The sequence below is a fragment of the Homo sapiens genome, chromosome 4, assembly GCF_000001405.40.
Source record: "Homo sapiens chromosome 4, GRCh38.p14 Primary Assembly".
Taxonomy (NCBI): domain Eukaryota; kingdom Metazoa; phylum Chordata; class Mammalia; order Primates; family Hominidae; genus Homo; species Homo sapiens.
The window spans coordinates 6,225,257-6,241,096 of NC_000004.12; the positions used below are offsets into that span (position 1 = coordinate 6,225,257).

At 50.7% G+C, this 15,840-nt stretch overlaps 1 long non-coding RNA gene across 1 annotated transcript in view; it reads left to right on the forward strand.

Annotated features, from left to right (window-relative positions):
* Window positions 1-8,680, forward strand: part of JAKMIP1-DT (JAKMIP1 divergent transcript) — a 33,204-nt gene extending 24,524 nt beyond the window's left edge. Inside the window, exons 2-4 of the long non-coding RNA NR_037863.1 lie at window positions 1,670-1,747; window positions 2,761-2,883; window positions 7,604-8,680. This is a non-coding gene — a long non-coding RNA (JAKMIP1 divergent transcript). The remainder of the gene's footprint in view (window positions 1-1,669; window positions 1,748-2,760; window positions 2,884-7,603) is intronic.
* The last annotated feature ends 7,160 nt before the right edge of the window (window positions 8,681-15,840 follow it).

Sequence of the window (15,840 nt, forward strand, 5' to 3'; positions counted from 1 at the left end):
GCAGGGAGGCTGACCAAGAAAAGAGTAGAAGATGGCCACTGTGCTCCAGGGCAGAGGATACCTGGCCCACCTTCCCCTGACCCCAGAGAGTTGTGGGGCCTCTGTCAGGAGGCACCGGCTCTAACAAGAGCTGTGGGTGTGCTCTGGGCTTTCTGCTTGGCACTGCTGCTCAGTGATCAAACCACATCATCCTTCTGAGTGTCTTCTTGTGACATAACGTTGATGATATTTGCTTCAACCAGAAAAGGTGAGACTCAGATTCAGGGTTTTGTGTGTATTTGAATTAGAGCCGACCCAGGGCCTTGGGAGCTCTCCGGGGTGCTGAAAGGATGGTCCTCAAACTCCAAGGATCAGCATAGTCTGTGCATAGGAGTGAGCCAGTGAGAATGTCATTCATTGAGCACCTACTGTGTGCCTGGCGCCTGGCTTCCTCATTATCTCGTTAACACATATGGTTGCTATCAGGCTGTTTGCCTCTGCCTGGCCTCAGCTTGGCCCTCCTGCTCCTGAAGTCCCCAGTGCCAGCCGCTGCACCAACATGTGTGTGGTCTGACCGCCTCTGTCCTTTGGTCTGTACAACAACTGGCTTGCCTGTGGCAGTGCCACCCAGCCAGCCTGCTGGGCCACCGACTTGCTTTGTATCTCCTGGCCTTGGAAAGGCTGACTTGGGCATGTTTGTGAGGGAGATTGGAAAACTGGAAGGTGAGGTTCTTAAGGTCACATCTTGATTATTCTCTACCATTTTTGTCATGTGTGTTTGGTTCAGGAAAATTTGAAACTGAACCGTGAGGACAGGGGCATTCAGGCTATCATCCTATAACCCCACTCCCCTGTGCTGGACTGTTACAATTATTTCTATAAAATCAGCCTCCCCATGGCACTGTGAGCCACTTGAGGGCAGAGCCTGTGCCTTATCCAGCCCTCTAGCTTCTGAGCCTGGCATAGGCTCCTGATAATAGTGGGAGCTCAGTCACCATTGATGAACCCAGATATGAAATGGATGGAAGGGTGAGCCCACAACTTGGATTTCTGTCCTGAGAGCTGGCGTCTGTGGGAGAGGGTTCTGTACACAGTCACGCCAGCCTCTGCACTCACTGAGCACTTGCTGGGCTTCTGGCTCTGCTCTCAAAACTTCATGAATATCAACATTTCCAATCCTCACTGAAACCCACGAGATAGGGACTATGATCCTCATTTTACAAATGGGGAAACTGAGTCAAAGAGCTATGCATAACTTGCCAAATACCACACAGCAGGTCAGTTGCAGGGCTGAGACGAGAACCCCAGCGGAGTTGCCATCTCAGCTGTCAACCCTCTGCACCACCGGTCCTGGTGCCAAGGCTTCATCCCATCCCCCATGGACCTAGTAACTAAAACTTTGGGTGACTTACTTGATTGTGCCCAGTGACCATCACGCAGCTTGGATGGGAGGGAAGGTCCTGGCTCCCACACTGCTGGGCGGTGCTGGGCGGAATCACTGCATCTTTCCATACTTCAGTTCCCTCAACTTCAGGGGGAGGCTCACTCCTACCATGGAACTTCTGGGAGGTCATAGGCCATCTGTGTGAAGCCCAGGGCCCTGTGGTGGCATGATTGTATGCTGTGATCTGAATATGATCAGTCGTTATTGATGGTCTTGAGGTTTTCCCGTGTGGTATTTCTTTTTCAGAAAAGGAAAGGGGGCTGGCCTAAAGGCAAGAAGAGAAACCCCCCGAGGGACCTTGCTGTTCCGTGTTCCTACGACAGGGTAAGATGCAGGGAGATTACTCTGACCCAACGTTGAAGTAATCTGCAGGGCTCACCATGTGGCCTGGGCCACGTGGCGGGGTTGGTACGATCCCATCTCAGCCTTTACCTGTTCTTTTAGGGTGCTTGGTTAGCTAGGGGGCCTGACACCACTGGGAGTGTGGGGTGGGCTGCTTAGTTCTTTAATCTGTAATGAGGTCCTGGTCCTGGAGGAGAGAGGACAGAAGAACCAGGTTTGGGTTCCAGACAGGAAAAGGGGTAGGTGTGGGCTTGGTGGGTCTGCTTTCCATCCCAGGCTTGAAGACATGGGCGCTCTGTGGCCTTGGGTAAGCTGGTTAACCTTCAGGGGGCTCAAGCCACCCTTCTCAGCACCTGGGACCTTGTCCCTTTCCCATGAATCTTGCGCCATAGAAGAAAGGTCCCATGCCAGCTGCTGACCAGAGCTCTGAGGGTCACCTTGCCCCATCTAGAAGCTTGTACACTTTATCCTCAGGGTTCACACGGCTCTAACGCTGAGGGGCTTCCTTCAGTATTCCTGTGGCTCACATGGATGAAACTGGTTTGGCCACAGCCTTTCTCCCTCCCCTTCAAAAGAAGTCCTTGAGCAGGAGGGGGAGGGGCCTGCACCTGGAGTATTAGGCCACACCTGTGAGCAGGTGGCATTATGTTCATTATACAAAGGGGGAAACGGAGGCTCAGATGGGTTACGTGGTTTGTCCACATAATGCAGCATGGCTATTTGAACGTGTCCCCTGCCAGACACAGCCACCCAGCCTTCATACACCTCGTGCCCTGTGGGGAGCCCCTCTTCTCATTCCTAGGCCTTTTACGAGACTCTGGGTTAACAAGCCACTGGAGGATGTGCCCCTCTTAGCCTTCAGTTCTCTGGTTAGACTGAACAAGATGGGCAAACCTGTGACTCGTTGTGAAAACCGGAAAGTGGAATGAGCTGCCCCTGGCCGGCTCCCTTCCCCACCGGTTCTCAGAGCCAGGTTTGTCCCTTCTGTGGCACAGGTACATGATATTCCTGAATGAGCAGAGAAGTCAGCTGAGGGCCACACACCCCGATCTGCCTTTCACAGAAATCATGAAGATGCTGGCTGTTCAGTGGGCCCAGCTGTCTCAGGATAAAAAGGGGTAAGTCCTGTTCTATGTGGTGAATACAAAGCGAGTCCCCCCGTGAGATGGGGCCTGGGCAGCCCGCAGCCACCGCCAGGGGCCGTTCCCTCCTAATCCATTTCTTACACCACAGCCAGAGGGAACCCTCTAGAGTGCAGACATGAGATGCCACTCACTCACCCATTTAGAGCAATTAATGGGTCCCCTTGCTTTTGGCAGCATCTCCTAAACTGGGTCAGGCAGAATGGCCCATCCAGGAATCATGGGCCGGCTGTCAAATAAGTCTAGGAAATTCTGGAGGAAATCAAGATCGTAGATTTCTCCCTCAGCAGGACATTTTTGGCGAATCTACAATATATTTGTGTAGCACTTGTTATGCCTGGCACCATGCTAGGTGCTGGGGATACAGCCACAAGCATGGCCAATGGGGCCCCTGCTGTCCTGGAGTGAGGCTGCGGAGGAAGAGACCGAGCCAAGCATGTAAAGGGGCATGAGAGTCTCTACGTGTGAGCGCTGGTGTGCGGTGTTTCTCAAACTAATTTACCAAGGAGCCTCTTTTTCACAGAGCACCTGTTAACCTCCTACAGAGGCATGTTCTGGGGGCCAGGGGAGGAATGCCAAATTATGGCATAAGGTCAAAGCCCATTTCGCATGAAATACTGTTACATTCCAATATCACTTCTGCCACCCCCAGCTGTACCTTCCAGCCACACTGAACAAACGTGTCATTTTCTGTTCAAGCCATGCCTGCCTCAGTGCCACCTCCTACAATAAGCCCTCCCACACCCCTAAGAATATCTGACCTCAAAGCCCATACTTTCTCCAGAACAGCACCCTGCCTCCAGAGTGTCATTTCCTTGAGTCAAATACAAAGACCCTGACGTGAACTTCTTTAAACCTCTACAATTTCATCTTGCTTTAGTCATAGAAAACTCTTGTTTAACAATTGACAAAATCCTAATGGGGGGCTCAGTTAGTAACATCCCTCTCCTTCCTACCCACGTTTCCAACCAACTAGGAACTATCCAGTAGCCAGTCAGATGGAGATTAAATGTCAGCTGTATTCACGCAAAGCGAGGGGGAGGGTGTCTTTGGATCAGTGGCTCCAGCTGCTGGCAGTGCCGGACAATTCCTGGCACTAGGTCAGAGCAGGCCCCTGAGCATGTGGCCAAGAGCAGTGCAGAGCCTTCGCTGCCTGCCAGCGGATGGCAGGGGCAAAGAGAGAGGGAGGGGCTCTACTCAGCATCCCAAGGCCTGGGGTTGGATCTGATTCGTCTGTCACTAGTGCCCAGCCCAGGACCCTGTGCAGGGAAAAGTGCTGATGTTTGCATGAAGGATCATTGAAGAGAAGTCTAAGGTTCCCCCTGGCAGGAGCTGATAATGCTGCCCTTCTCTGCAGTCATCAGACCAAACCTGGAGAATGGTAGTGGCCACAGCAAGGCAGATGCCAGTTGATGGGAAGGAAAACAGTGCCATTCAAACAAGGAATGAACTTGCTTGGAGGTAGTGAGGTCCCTGTCCCTGGAGGTGTGCAAGCAGAAGCTGAGTAGTAGCTTCTTGGGATCATCCTAAAGAGCCCCAAGGAGGTTGGACAAGAGGATGCCCAGCCTCCATCCCCATCCCAACCCCAAATCTGGAGCGCCTCAGAATCTCTGTGCTCCTTCCTCCAGAGGTATGTGTCTCAGGTGGACGAGGACAAGTAGGGCTATGTCTGCGAGCTACAGGCCTTCCAGAGCTCTGAGGCCTACCGAGCTTTCCTGCAGAGGTGTGCAGCCCACAAGGCGCTGTGTGGGATGCAGGAGTGGACTGGAGCTCACCTCTCCCAAGCCGGGGTCTGGGATGTTTACGCAGCAGAAAGTACGCTGGGAAAGCCCTTGGTGTTACTCCACCTCCTTCAGCGCTCACACCAGTCGCCTTGATTGAAGAGCCAAAGCAGTTGGACATCCAGTCTCTTCCTTTTCAGCCCATCCTGGACCGGTTAAAGATTAAAGATAAGAGGCAGCTTGTTCCCTCCTACCTGGGAGGGTCAGTGGACATTCAGGGAGTGCTGAGGCAGCGGTTACTTTGTAGTGTTTAGAAAAGGGAAAGGAATCACGGTGACAGGCCTGGCACTTCTCAAATTCCAGCATGCACACGGTCACCGAGGGTCTTGCTGGTAGGCAGGTTCTGCTCCAGCAGGTTCAGGGTGGGGCCTGGGAGTCTGCATTTCTGACATGCCCATGGGCCATGGCTGCTGCTGCTCCAGGGCCCACACTGACTATGCTGCAGGTTGGTTCCTGCAGCACTCACCACTCCTACATGCCGCGGCACCCTCCCACAGCCCAGCATCTCTGCCGTGGGCTTTTCTCAGATGGCCATGGGGCCACATGTGCAGGGCAGAGCTAGCAAACTGAGCATCTATGTAAACCCACGCAGACAGCTTTCCACCACCACCGCCATGGTGAGACAAATCCCAGGTGGGTTCCATACCCCAGAGAGTTCCCATGGGACTGAGCCCCATTCCTGTAATGGCCCTGCCCAGCCAGCTGACTCACTTCCAGCCCTACTGGTGCTTCCTGAGATCAATACCCAAACAAACCATTGACACCAAAATCCTCATCTGGGGGGCCCGGCTCTGTCCCCAGAGTCTGAGGCAGAGGAGGGAACCCTATCCATTGTCTACTCACTATGCCTTCACCATGGAGGACACTTTCCACTCATTTTTCTTTTTCATCCTTTTTGAAAGTATTCTCAATCGCAGAGCCCATCAGCAGCACTTTTACATTGAGACCCACAGGGCGGCCACCGGCCACCAGGATTCCAGTCTTCTCTGAGGGGCACAGGCCTGCAGGGCAGCATTGAAGTGTCCTTGTCAGTGGGGGTCCAGGCGCCAGTCTCTGGCCCCACCAGTGGCTGCCCCAGGGCAGAGGTAGGCTTCTCCCAGTGGTCCTGGGTCCACCCCCGTTCACCCTGCATGTTCCTGCCCTGCACGCTCCATGGTCAGGGCTGGCCCGCGTCCCTAGGACGTCACAGCAAGGCCTGCCTATCTTTCACGTTGCTGCCTCTCCGGCTGAGCACCGGAGGAAGCATGCATCAGGGGCTCTGCCATCCACGAGACTCCAGGACCAGCCACGTGTGTCCCATGCTCCCACCGGGACTGGCTGAGAGAGCTGCCTTCCTGGTGACCAGGGTGTGGGCTCCAGAGTCCAAGTGCCCAGGTTGGAATGGCAGCTCTACCACTCGGTGGCTCTGTGGCCTTGCACAAATTGCTGGAACACTCACTGCCTCAGTTTCTTCATCTGAAAAATGGGGCTGTCACAGGCCCTTCTCCTCAGGGCTCAGTGAGGATGAATGAGCTAAACCACAGAGAGGTTGGTACTCAGCGCCTGGTACATGGCAAGTGTTCACACTTGCGGTAAGTGTTCACACTTAGTGCCCCTCCCTGTGCGCTGGGGCATGGCCCCCACCCTAGCTTCCTCCAAAGCAGGGGTCAGCAAACTTTTTCTGGAAAGGGATAGATAGCAACTGTCATAGGCTTTGTGGGCCACGTGGCCTCCATCGCAGTCATTCAACTCTATGCTTGTAGCAGGAAAGCAGCCATAGACAATATGTTCACAAAGGGCCGTGTCTGCATGCCAATAAAACTTTATTTATAAAAACATACAGAAGGCTGAGTTGGTCCACAGGTAGGTCTACTCTGGCCCATCGTACTTATTGGGTTTCCACGTAACCTTTGTTTTCAATCAAGTGCCTGTAGATAAAAATAATCAACTGGAAAATCTCTGGTCTGGCATAGAACTAGCAGATATACCCACGCATGGTGGCGTCTCTGATGGTTCCAGGGGAGCTGCAAGGCCTCTGGTCCTCATCATGAATGTCAGATCTCTTGGTACCAGAGTTAAGCAGAGGGTGCCTGAGAACAGCTGTCATTCCTGCTCCTGGTTTTCTCCCAAAATGCCATTTGTCCAAGCTTAGCAGAGAACAGCTTGTCTTGCTGAATTCTTCATTCATGCTGAGGCCCTGCGGCCTTCTCCTTATTTGGGGGATTGTTTGTAAATTGTCGTCATGCAAAAACCTGGTGTGTTACAAGGAAAGGTCACTCCAACACAGCAGCCTCGTCTTTAAACAAATAAAATATATCACTGCCTTATTTAAAACATAGTAATTTTAAGAGTTTGCTGTATAAAAATAAATTAGTAGTCAATATCCATTTTAAAAGTATCACCTAGAATCTGCCATGCTAAAAAATGAAGTTTCCATTTTTCCTCGTTTCTCCCTCATCTTCATTCCGTACCTAGCCAGGTGCTTATACATTGACATCAGAGGTACCTGGTGTTTCCTCTTGGCTCATTGGGGTTTTCAGACCTCAGATTAAATTGAACAGCATTGATCCTCCTCCAGCAGGTAACATGAAGACCCCTCGAGATGATGTTTGCAATCAAAGAAGGCACCTCTGACCCTCTGATTGGTGTCCCCCAAATAGGGCTGAGCCCTTTCCTGAGACAAATTCTGAAAACGCACCTCTATCTACTGAGGACCTAGCACTTTCTCTCTCACCGGATGACAGAGGTCTTGAGATGAATTGAAATTCTCATCTGTGCTCAGAAAGGTGTCACACCTAGCAAGGAAATTTACAGTGGGGAAAGGGAGTTGCAGGGCCCAGCCCTGTCCACACAAAGCCCGTGTGTCTTTTTCAGCTGATTTTATGTTCAGAGAAGGCGCCTCCTCCCTGCTCACCTGAAACCCTTTCTGTCCTCAGGGAGATGAACTCAATGACCTCTACTGCGGGACCTCCAGGCAGCTCTTCAGCTCCCTGTGCAACAAGAAGGAACCTGCTGCAAAGGCAGCACCTGCAGCGCCTCTCAGGTAACCAGCCTGGGCCAGGCGGCTCAGCCGCAAACGCTGGCCTTGACTCCACCTGCGCCAGAGGTCACCAACAGGCGGCCCACGTGACACCTCTTGTTATTAAAATGCAATTTTAAGACAGACTCTAGTCAAGCCCACTTACCACCAGGTGGGTGTTTAGGACAGGGTAGGTCTTCCACTATATCTGTTTTCCTCTTAGTTCGCCAGGCCCGCCTGCTCTGGGCCACGCAGGACACGGACGTCAGCTTCTCCTGGAGCGCTCGCTCACTTTATTCCATCTCTACGAGCTCCTCAAGTATCCCAGAGCATCCCCAGGCCTGTGGCCACCTCGGGTCTGGATGCCGCATTCTCTGACCTGTGGCACATTCTGGGTGCCCATGATTATGATGAGGTTCTGTGCCCATGTGGCCTCAGGGCTCTTGAGACCACCCTTCAACCAGGTCTTTGCTCACCTGTCTCCTGCCCAGGGACGCCACCCAGGTCACCGGTGCAAACCTCCAGCCCCTGCCCGTTTCTCTCCATGAGTGCATTGCCACCTCGCAGCCTCTTCCACTTGCTCATTCCTGGTGTTATTGCCTGTCTCCCACTGGAAGAGAAGGCCCTCAAGTTCAGCAACTGTTTTGCCTGTTTTGTTCACTGTGGTGAACCCCGGGCCTAGAACCACGCCTGGCACTCCCAGTAGGTGCTCAATAAGTATCCAATGAGTGGACAAATGAATGGATGTGTTCAACAAATGACCCTAGAGCGTGTATTCCTTCCAGGGACAGAGCGAGGTACTGGGGACACAGGAAGGACGAGGCAGAGCTCCGCGCTGACGAAACCAAGGGCCAAGCGTGCGAGTGAATACGAACATCCTGGCGTTAAAACGTCTTGCATTCTAGTGAAATGAGACCCATTGGACACAGAGAAGCCCCACCACAATTGCATCTGTGTAAAATCGAGAGAAAGATCGTGAAAACAGCCATGGCAGGTGCTGGACTAAGGGGTGACATTGGGTTTTCTCTTCCCACCTATCCTTTAGGGTTGTTAAAACAGAAATAGATCTCACGTAGGCCCCTGCTCTGCACCCTGCTTGCTGAGTCACGCAGGGCCAGTTACGCAGCTACCGTGTGCTTACCCGGCCTCATCTGTAAAATAAGGATGACACTGCCTGCCTGGCAGGGCTCTCCTGAGAATACACAGTGCCTCGTGCAGGGCCCAGTGCAGCAGAGAGGTCACCTCCTCCAGGAAGACTTTCCTGACCTGGGCTTGGGGTTGGGCCTCCCCAGGGCTCCTAAGGCTTCCCCACATACCCTTCACTTTGCAATGATCATCCCCTGTTACTGTCCCACAACACACATTACACACAACACCATACAAACACATGCATTCTACACACACACAACATACACATGCACTACATATAACACACATTATACACATTACAAACACAACACATACCCCACACTTCACACTCATATACACACATACACCACCCACATACACTCCAAACACTCCGCACACATACAAACACATACTACATACAACACACTCATACCACACACATGCACACACGGGTCTGGAGGGCGGTGCTGTGTGGGGCTCCGGGCGCATCCCTGATCCATAGCAGATACTGAATATTTGCTGAAGGAATATCCAGGAGACTCGTGCTACGTCTGGTGTTTGAAAGGAAATGAACAGTTCTTGGTAATGTCTTGTTTAGGGTGAATAATGGCACTGAAGACAGAAAATGCATCTTATCACCTGCTCTGGAGCAAAACATGTGTGCTTGGATGCGTAGAGTTATTCTGTGTAAATTACCCACCAGAGAGAATTCAGGCGTGTTTCAAAATCTATAAAACCGTGTGCTGGGGGACCATGAAAAGTTGTAGATGCACGTGGCCGTGAACCACTGTAACTCTCTGGGGGCCTGCGTGACCGTTTAAAAGGAAACAGACATGGGCAAACCTCGTTTCATCTTCTCTCTAAATCACCTACAATTTTACAGTAGCAGTCGGGCTCTTGAGAGCTTTCCCATTTCCACTTTTCTTGGTGGATCTTGCTGGAAATCAGTGCTTTTGGCAGCTGCAGTCTCTGAGGCGGGGCCCTGATTGGGGATGGGGTGTTAACCTTGCATTCTTTGGGGTTCAGGTCTCAAATGGCTCTTGTAGCCCTGGGATCTGAGGAGCGAGACCAGGACTCAGCTATCTCCACCCCGGAAGAACCTTCCCTGCTCTTCCACATCCAGCCCAGGCCTCGGCTTCCTCGTCTGCAAAACGAGGGTGCTGAGAAGATGGGAGCAGGGGTCCAGCGTTTTCATCAGCAGGGCTGTTGAGATGTAATTCCCATGCCATAGTGCCCACTGGTTGAAAGTCTATACAGTTCAGTGGTTTCTAGTGTATTTTCAGATATATGCAGCCATCACTGTGGTGGACTTTAGAACATCTCTGTCACCCCAAAGAGCAACCCCGTTTCCATTGGTGTCACTCCCGGGGCTCCGCATTCCCAGCCCAGCAGCCTAGGACAAGTTTTCTGCCTCTGCAGGAGGCCCCCAAGTTTCAGATCTTGATGTCTCCTTTCTGTGGGGAGTCCAGCAGGCATCTCCACCTTAGGGACAGCTTAGTGGACAGTGCTGTGTCACCATCAAGGGCCTGAATCCCCGCTCTGTCACCTACTACCTCTTTTACCTTGGGCAAATTCTTCACCCTTTGCCTTGGTTTCCTTAGGTGAAAATGGGATCATCGTGCTGACCTCAAGGGCAGCTGTAGGATTCGATGTTCCTCATGTCACGGTCTCTAACCGTGTGGCACATTCTGGGTGCCCATGGTTACGATGATGGGTTTGGGGGCTGGAGGGATCAGTGACTTTCTGCCTCCACCCCCTCTCTAGGAACGGCAGGCTGCTAAGGAACCCCACAGGCACATGCTGTGTGGCTCCCTGCACGCTGTCCTTCTCCTGCCGTGGCTTTTCACCTTTGTGTGCCAGTCTTGCTCCTGTTCATGCCTCAAAATCCCACCAAAAAGACAATAACAGGTGCTGGCAAGCATGTAGAGAAACTGAAGCCCTGCTGCTCTGGTGGTGACAGAGGGCACACTGCATTGGAGAATGGTCTGACAGCTCCTCAAAAGGTTAAACATAGAGTTGCCGTGTGACCCAGCCATTCCGCTCCGGTGGCCAATCTGAGGTTTCAGTCCAGGCTGTCTGGTTCCAAGGACTCTGTTCTTTACCACTTTCTATGTGTACACCCAAAGAACTGCAAATGTATGATCAACCAAAAATATGAACATGAACGCTCATCGCGGCACAGTTCGTAATAGCCAAAAAGTGGAAACAAACCAAACGCCCATCAAGGGTTGAATGGATAAACAAAACGTGGCCCATCCTTACAACAGCGTAACCTTGGGCCGTACAGAGGAGTGAAGTATGATATGCACCACGATGCGGAGGAAACTTGAGAACATAGTAAGTGAAAGAAACCAGACACAAAGGACCACACACGGTGTGATTCCATTCACACCAGATGTCCAGAGCAGGAGATCTGTAGAGGCAGAAAGGAGATTGCTGGTTGTCTAGGGCTGGGTTTCGGGAGGATAAGGGAGTGATAGCCAAAGGCTGCGAGTTTCTTTATAAAGGATGAAAATGTCCTAAAATTGGGGTGATGGTTGCATGTCTGTGAACCTACTAAAAACCACTGAATCACACACTTACTTTATTTTTATTTCTTTATTTATATTTATTTATTTATTTATTGAGTCAAGGTCTCACTCTGTCGTCCAGGCTGGAGTCCAGTGGTACAATCACAACTCACTGCAGCCTCAACCTCCCAGGTTCAGCTGATCCTCCCACCTCAGCCTCCTGAGTAGCTGGGACTGCTGGCGTTGGTCACCATGCCTGGCTAATTATTTTGTAGAGATGGGTTTTACGCCACGTTACCCAGCATGGTTTCGAACTCCTGGACTCAAGGGGTCTGTCCACCTCGGCCACCCAAAGTGCTGAGATTACAGGCGTGAGCCACTGCACCCAACCATGATATGTGAACTAGATCTCAATAAAGCTGTTAGGCAAAAAACAAAACAAAACAAAAAAACACCATCTCAATCAAGGACCCTTACTCCAGGAGGCCTCCTCTGCTGGCCTCTGCCCCTGCCTGGTCCTGGCGTGCTCTGCTTGTCTGTCTCTCTGTCCACCAAACAGGGGACCCTGAGGCAGAGGCTGGTTCGCCCACATGTGGACAGAGGGCCAGGCCTGGAAGTGCTGCTAATTCTCTGCTCGTGGGCTGACCTCTGTGACAGGATTTCTTTGCTTTTTAGGGGAATTTAAAAAAGATCCTGCCACGTACTCATAGCACCTGGAGCCTCTGGAGGAAGAGGAGGGACAAATGAGGTCAAGTCAGAGGAGGAAGCTGAGGGCCCCGAGTCCCTTCTGCTCAGATGTCCGCATCCAGAGAGGAGTTCTGCTTCTCTCAACCTGTGTTTCTTGCAAGAGTTTATCTATAAATTGCTGAAAAATGGGTAATCAAGTTCAGCAACTCCCTGGCATCTGTGATGACCTATGGTTTGTAATCCTAGTCAGAATCACCTACATAGAGGATATAATATTAATCAGAACAAAACAGAAAAGTCGCTAGAGGAATAACAATAGTAAAATTTACAATCAGATGAAGAATAAAGTTTTCAATGAGGCACAGTTCTAAGCACTTCATACAAATAACCTGTCTTAATTCTCATAAAAGTACTGCAAGGCAGGTGATAATATCATCTCCTTCTAAAGATAAAATGCAGCACAGAGAGGTTAAGTAACTTGTCCAATGTTGAACAGCTAGTGAGTGGTCAATCTGAGATTTAAATCCAGGCTGTCTGGGTCCAAGAACTCTGTTCTTCACTACTTCTCAACAACATCAACTATGTAAAATGACACACATACATAAACCCACATCAATGGTAATGGTGGTAATCTCTGGCCGGCAAGATGAAAGAAGATGTTATGCAATTCTTCAGTCCTTTCTGTGTCTGCCACATTTTCCCCAATGGATAGATGTCACTTAAATTATCAGAGGAAGAAACAAACTCTATTAAAAGGAATTTCAAGGGCCGGGCAAGATGGATCACACCTGTAATCCCAGCACTTTGGGAGGCCGAGGTGGGCGGATCACCTGAGGTCAGCAGTTCGAGACCAGCCTGGCCAACATGGCGAAACCCTGTCTCTACTAAACATACAAAAAAATTAGCCGGGCGTGGTGGCACATGCCTGTAATCCCAACTACTTGGGAGGCTGAGGCAGGAGAATCACTTGAATCTGGGAGGTGGAGGTTGCAGTGAGCCAAGATCGCACCACTGCACTCAAGCCTGGGCGACAGAGCAAGGCTTCATCTCAAAAAAATAAAATAAAATAAAATTATTGTTTTATTCTGCTTATAAAATTAGCATATTCATTGAAGCTAGGCACAGTGGCTCCTGCCTGTAATCGCAGCCCTTTGGGAGACCAGGGCGGGTAGATCACTTGAGGCCAGGAGTTCGAGACCAGCCTGGCCAACATGGTGAAACCCCGTCTCTAATGAAAATACAAAAATTAGCTGGGTTTGGTGGCAGGCACCTGTAATCCCAGCTACTCAGGAGGCTGAGGCACGAGAATCGCTTGAACCCAAGAGGCGGATGTTGCAGTGAGCTGAGGTTGCACCACTGCACTCCAACCTGGGTGACAGAGCGAGACTCTGTCTCAAAATAAATAAAATAAAATAAACATATTAATTGAAGAAAATTTTGAAATTTCAGAAAAGTATATGAAGAAAATGTAAACACTATCAGTAGAGAAGTGTTGTTAGCATTTCAGTGCAGTGTTTCTAGTCTTATTTTCTATAAATATCTGAATCTACCCGCCTATTTCTCTATCTCTCTACCTAAATATATCTGCATGTTATTTGTATATCTGCATATTTATCTTATATTTATCTAAATAAATATATCTAACTATATCTCTATATAGAGATAGAGATAGAAAGATGGAGAGAAAGAGAGATAGAGAGATGGACATGAAGGTAAAATCCGTCCTGCAGCTCCCATTTGCAGAAGAGCGTGAGCATTTTCACATCTCCTTCAACGTTCTTTTAGGCATCGCCCCTCCTGGCTGCATAATATTTCATCATATGCGTGAGCCGCACTGGCTGCCCAGTTCCTCACTGTGTCGTTGTTTGTTTGTTTGTTTGTTTTGAAACAGAGTCTCACTCTGTCGCCCAGGCTGGAGTACCGTGGCATGATCTTGGCTCACTGCAAACTCCGCCTCCTGAGTTCAAGTGATTTCCGGCTAATTTTTGTATTTTTAGTCGGGATGGGGTTTCACCACATTAACCAGGCTGGTGTTGAACTTCTGACCTCAAGTGATCCGCCCTCCTCGGCCTCCCAAAGTGCTAGGATTACAGGCGTGAGCCACCGTGCCTGGCCATTATGACTGTACGTTTTGGTGACACCTGGTTCTTACGTTAGAAATCAGGCTGCTGAACGTTCTGCTCTGTGTGTGTCTTTGTGCCCATTCTTGTTGGCTTCCTTAGAGGGATTTCTGGAAGTTCAATGATTATGTAAAAAGCACAAGCCTTGCTGGGACCCTGGAGTGGCGTTGGAGTCTCTCGTGGTTAGGAGCCCAGGCCCTGGCCTGGCCATCGGGGGCTGGAATCCTGGCTGTGTCCTCCGTAGCCATGTGCCCCAGGCAGCTTTCCTCACCGCCTGCCTGTCATCCAGGGATGCAGGTAGGTCCTGCTCCATGGGGTTGTCATGGCGATCACAGAGACTTGTCCGTGTGGACCACCTAGAGCAGTACCTAGCAGGGCACCTGGCGCCCTGGGGTCACCTTGGATCAGGGTTGCAGCTGACCCACTCCCATCCCTCCCAAAGGCCCTTCAGCCCAGACTTTTGTGCACCCCAAATTCCATCAAAATCCTTTTTCCTTTGAGAGTAACTTTATTCATTTCCCTGCAGCTTATTAAAGAATTCTGAAGAACAGTGGGTGTTAAATTTTTTAAAAGAAAGAAAACATTCCAGTAATCCAAAGCCATCACGCAATAGCCCACCCGACAGAGGTCCCTGAAAAACAGCCCACAGGGGTCCTTGGGGTTTGCGTCCACGACCCTCTAAGCAAGGTGCCTCACCTGGCGGAGCTCCTGAAGACGGGAGCTCCTGAAGACAGGCGCCCCCTCCTAGGATGCCAAAGGTCAGAGGCCGCAGTGGGAGAGGCCTGGCTGACAGCTTGTATTCCAGTGGGCTAGAGCCTCCAGAGCCCTCACCACTGGATTGCCCCTTCTCTTGGCTGGGCGGGACCTGATTTCCACCTGCACAGCCCTGGTGAAGCCACGCAAAAGGAACCTGGGAAAGGCTCAGGTCCAGAATTGGATGGACACAATTGTGGAACTCAGCCCTCCTCCCCGGCTGGGGGACCTCTGGACAGGTCCCTGAGCCCCTTGGAACTTCGCTTCCCCAGCCTATAAAATGAGGCAGGCATGCCTCTCTGAGGGTCTGGTGAGCTCTTGAGCTCCTGCAAACGGCCCAGAGTGAAGTAATAGGAGTTTTTGAGCTGAATTCTCAGTCTGTTGCTCAGGCTGGAGCACAGTGGTGCAATCGTAGGTCACTGCAACCTCCACTTCCCAGGTTCAAGTGATTCTTCTGCCTCAGCCTCCTGAGTAGCTAATTTTTTCTACTTTTAGTAGAGACAGGGCTTCACCATGTTGGCCAGGCTGGTCTCAAACTCCTGGCCTCAAGTGATCTGCCCATCTCGACCTCCCAAAGTGCTGGGACTACAGGCATGAGCCACTGCACCCGGCCAGAAGTCATAGGATTTTAACGAGTGGAGACAGTGTGGGTGGGGCCATTATTCCACTTCCTGGAGAGGAAGAGAGATCCTGGCAATGTCTATAGATCTCAGGTGCTCTGCAGGGCATGAGTGTATTTATTTACATATTTATTTACTTGCTTATTTATTTATTCACCTATTTATTTACTTATGTACTTATTTACATATTTACTTTTGATTTGCTGACATATGTATTTACTTATTCATTTACTTATATATGTATTTATGTACTTCATTCCCTTTCTTATTTACTCTTTCACTTGTTGCCCGTCTATTCATGACATCTGAGTGTCTCTCTCCCAGTAGAGGCCAGGG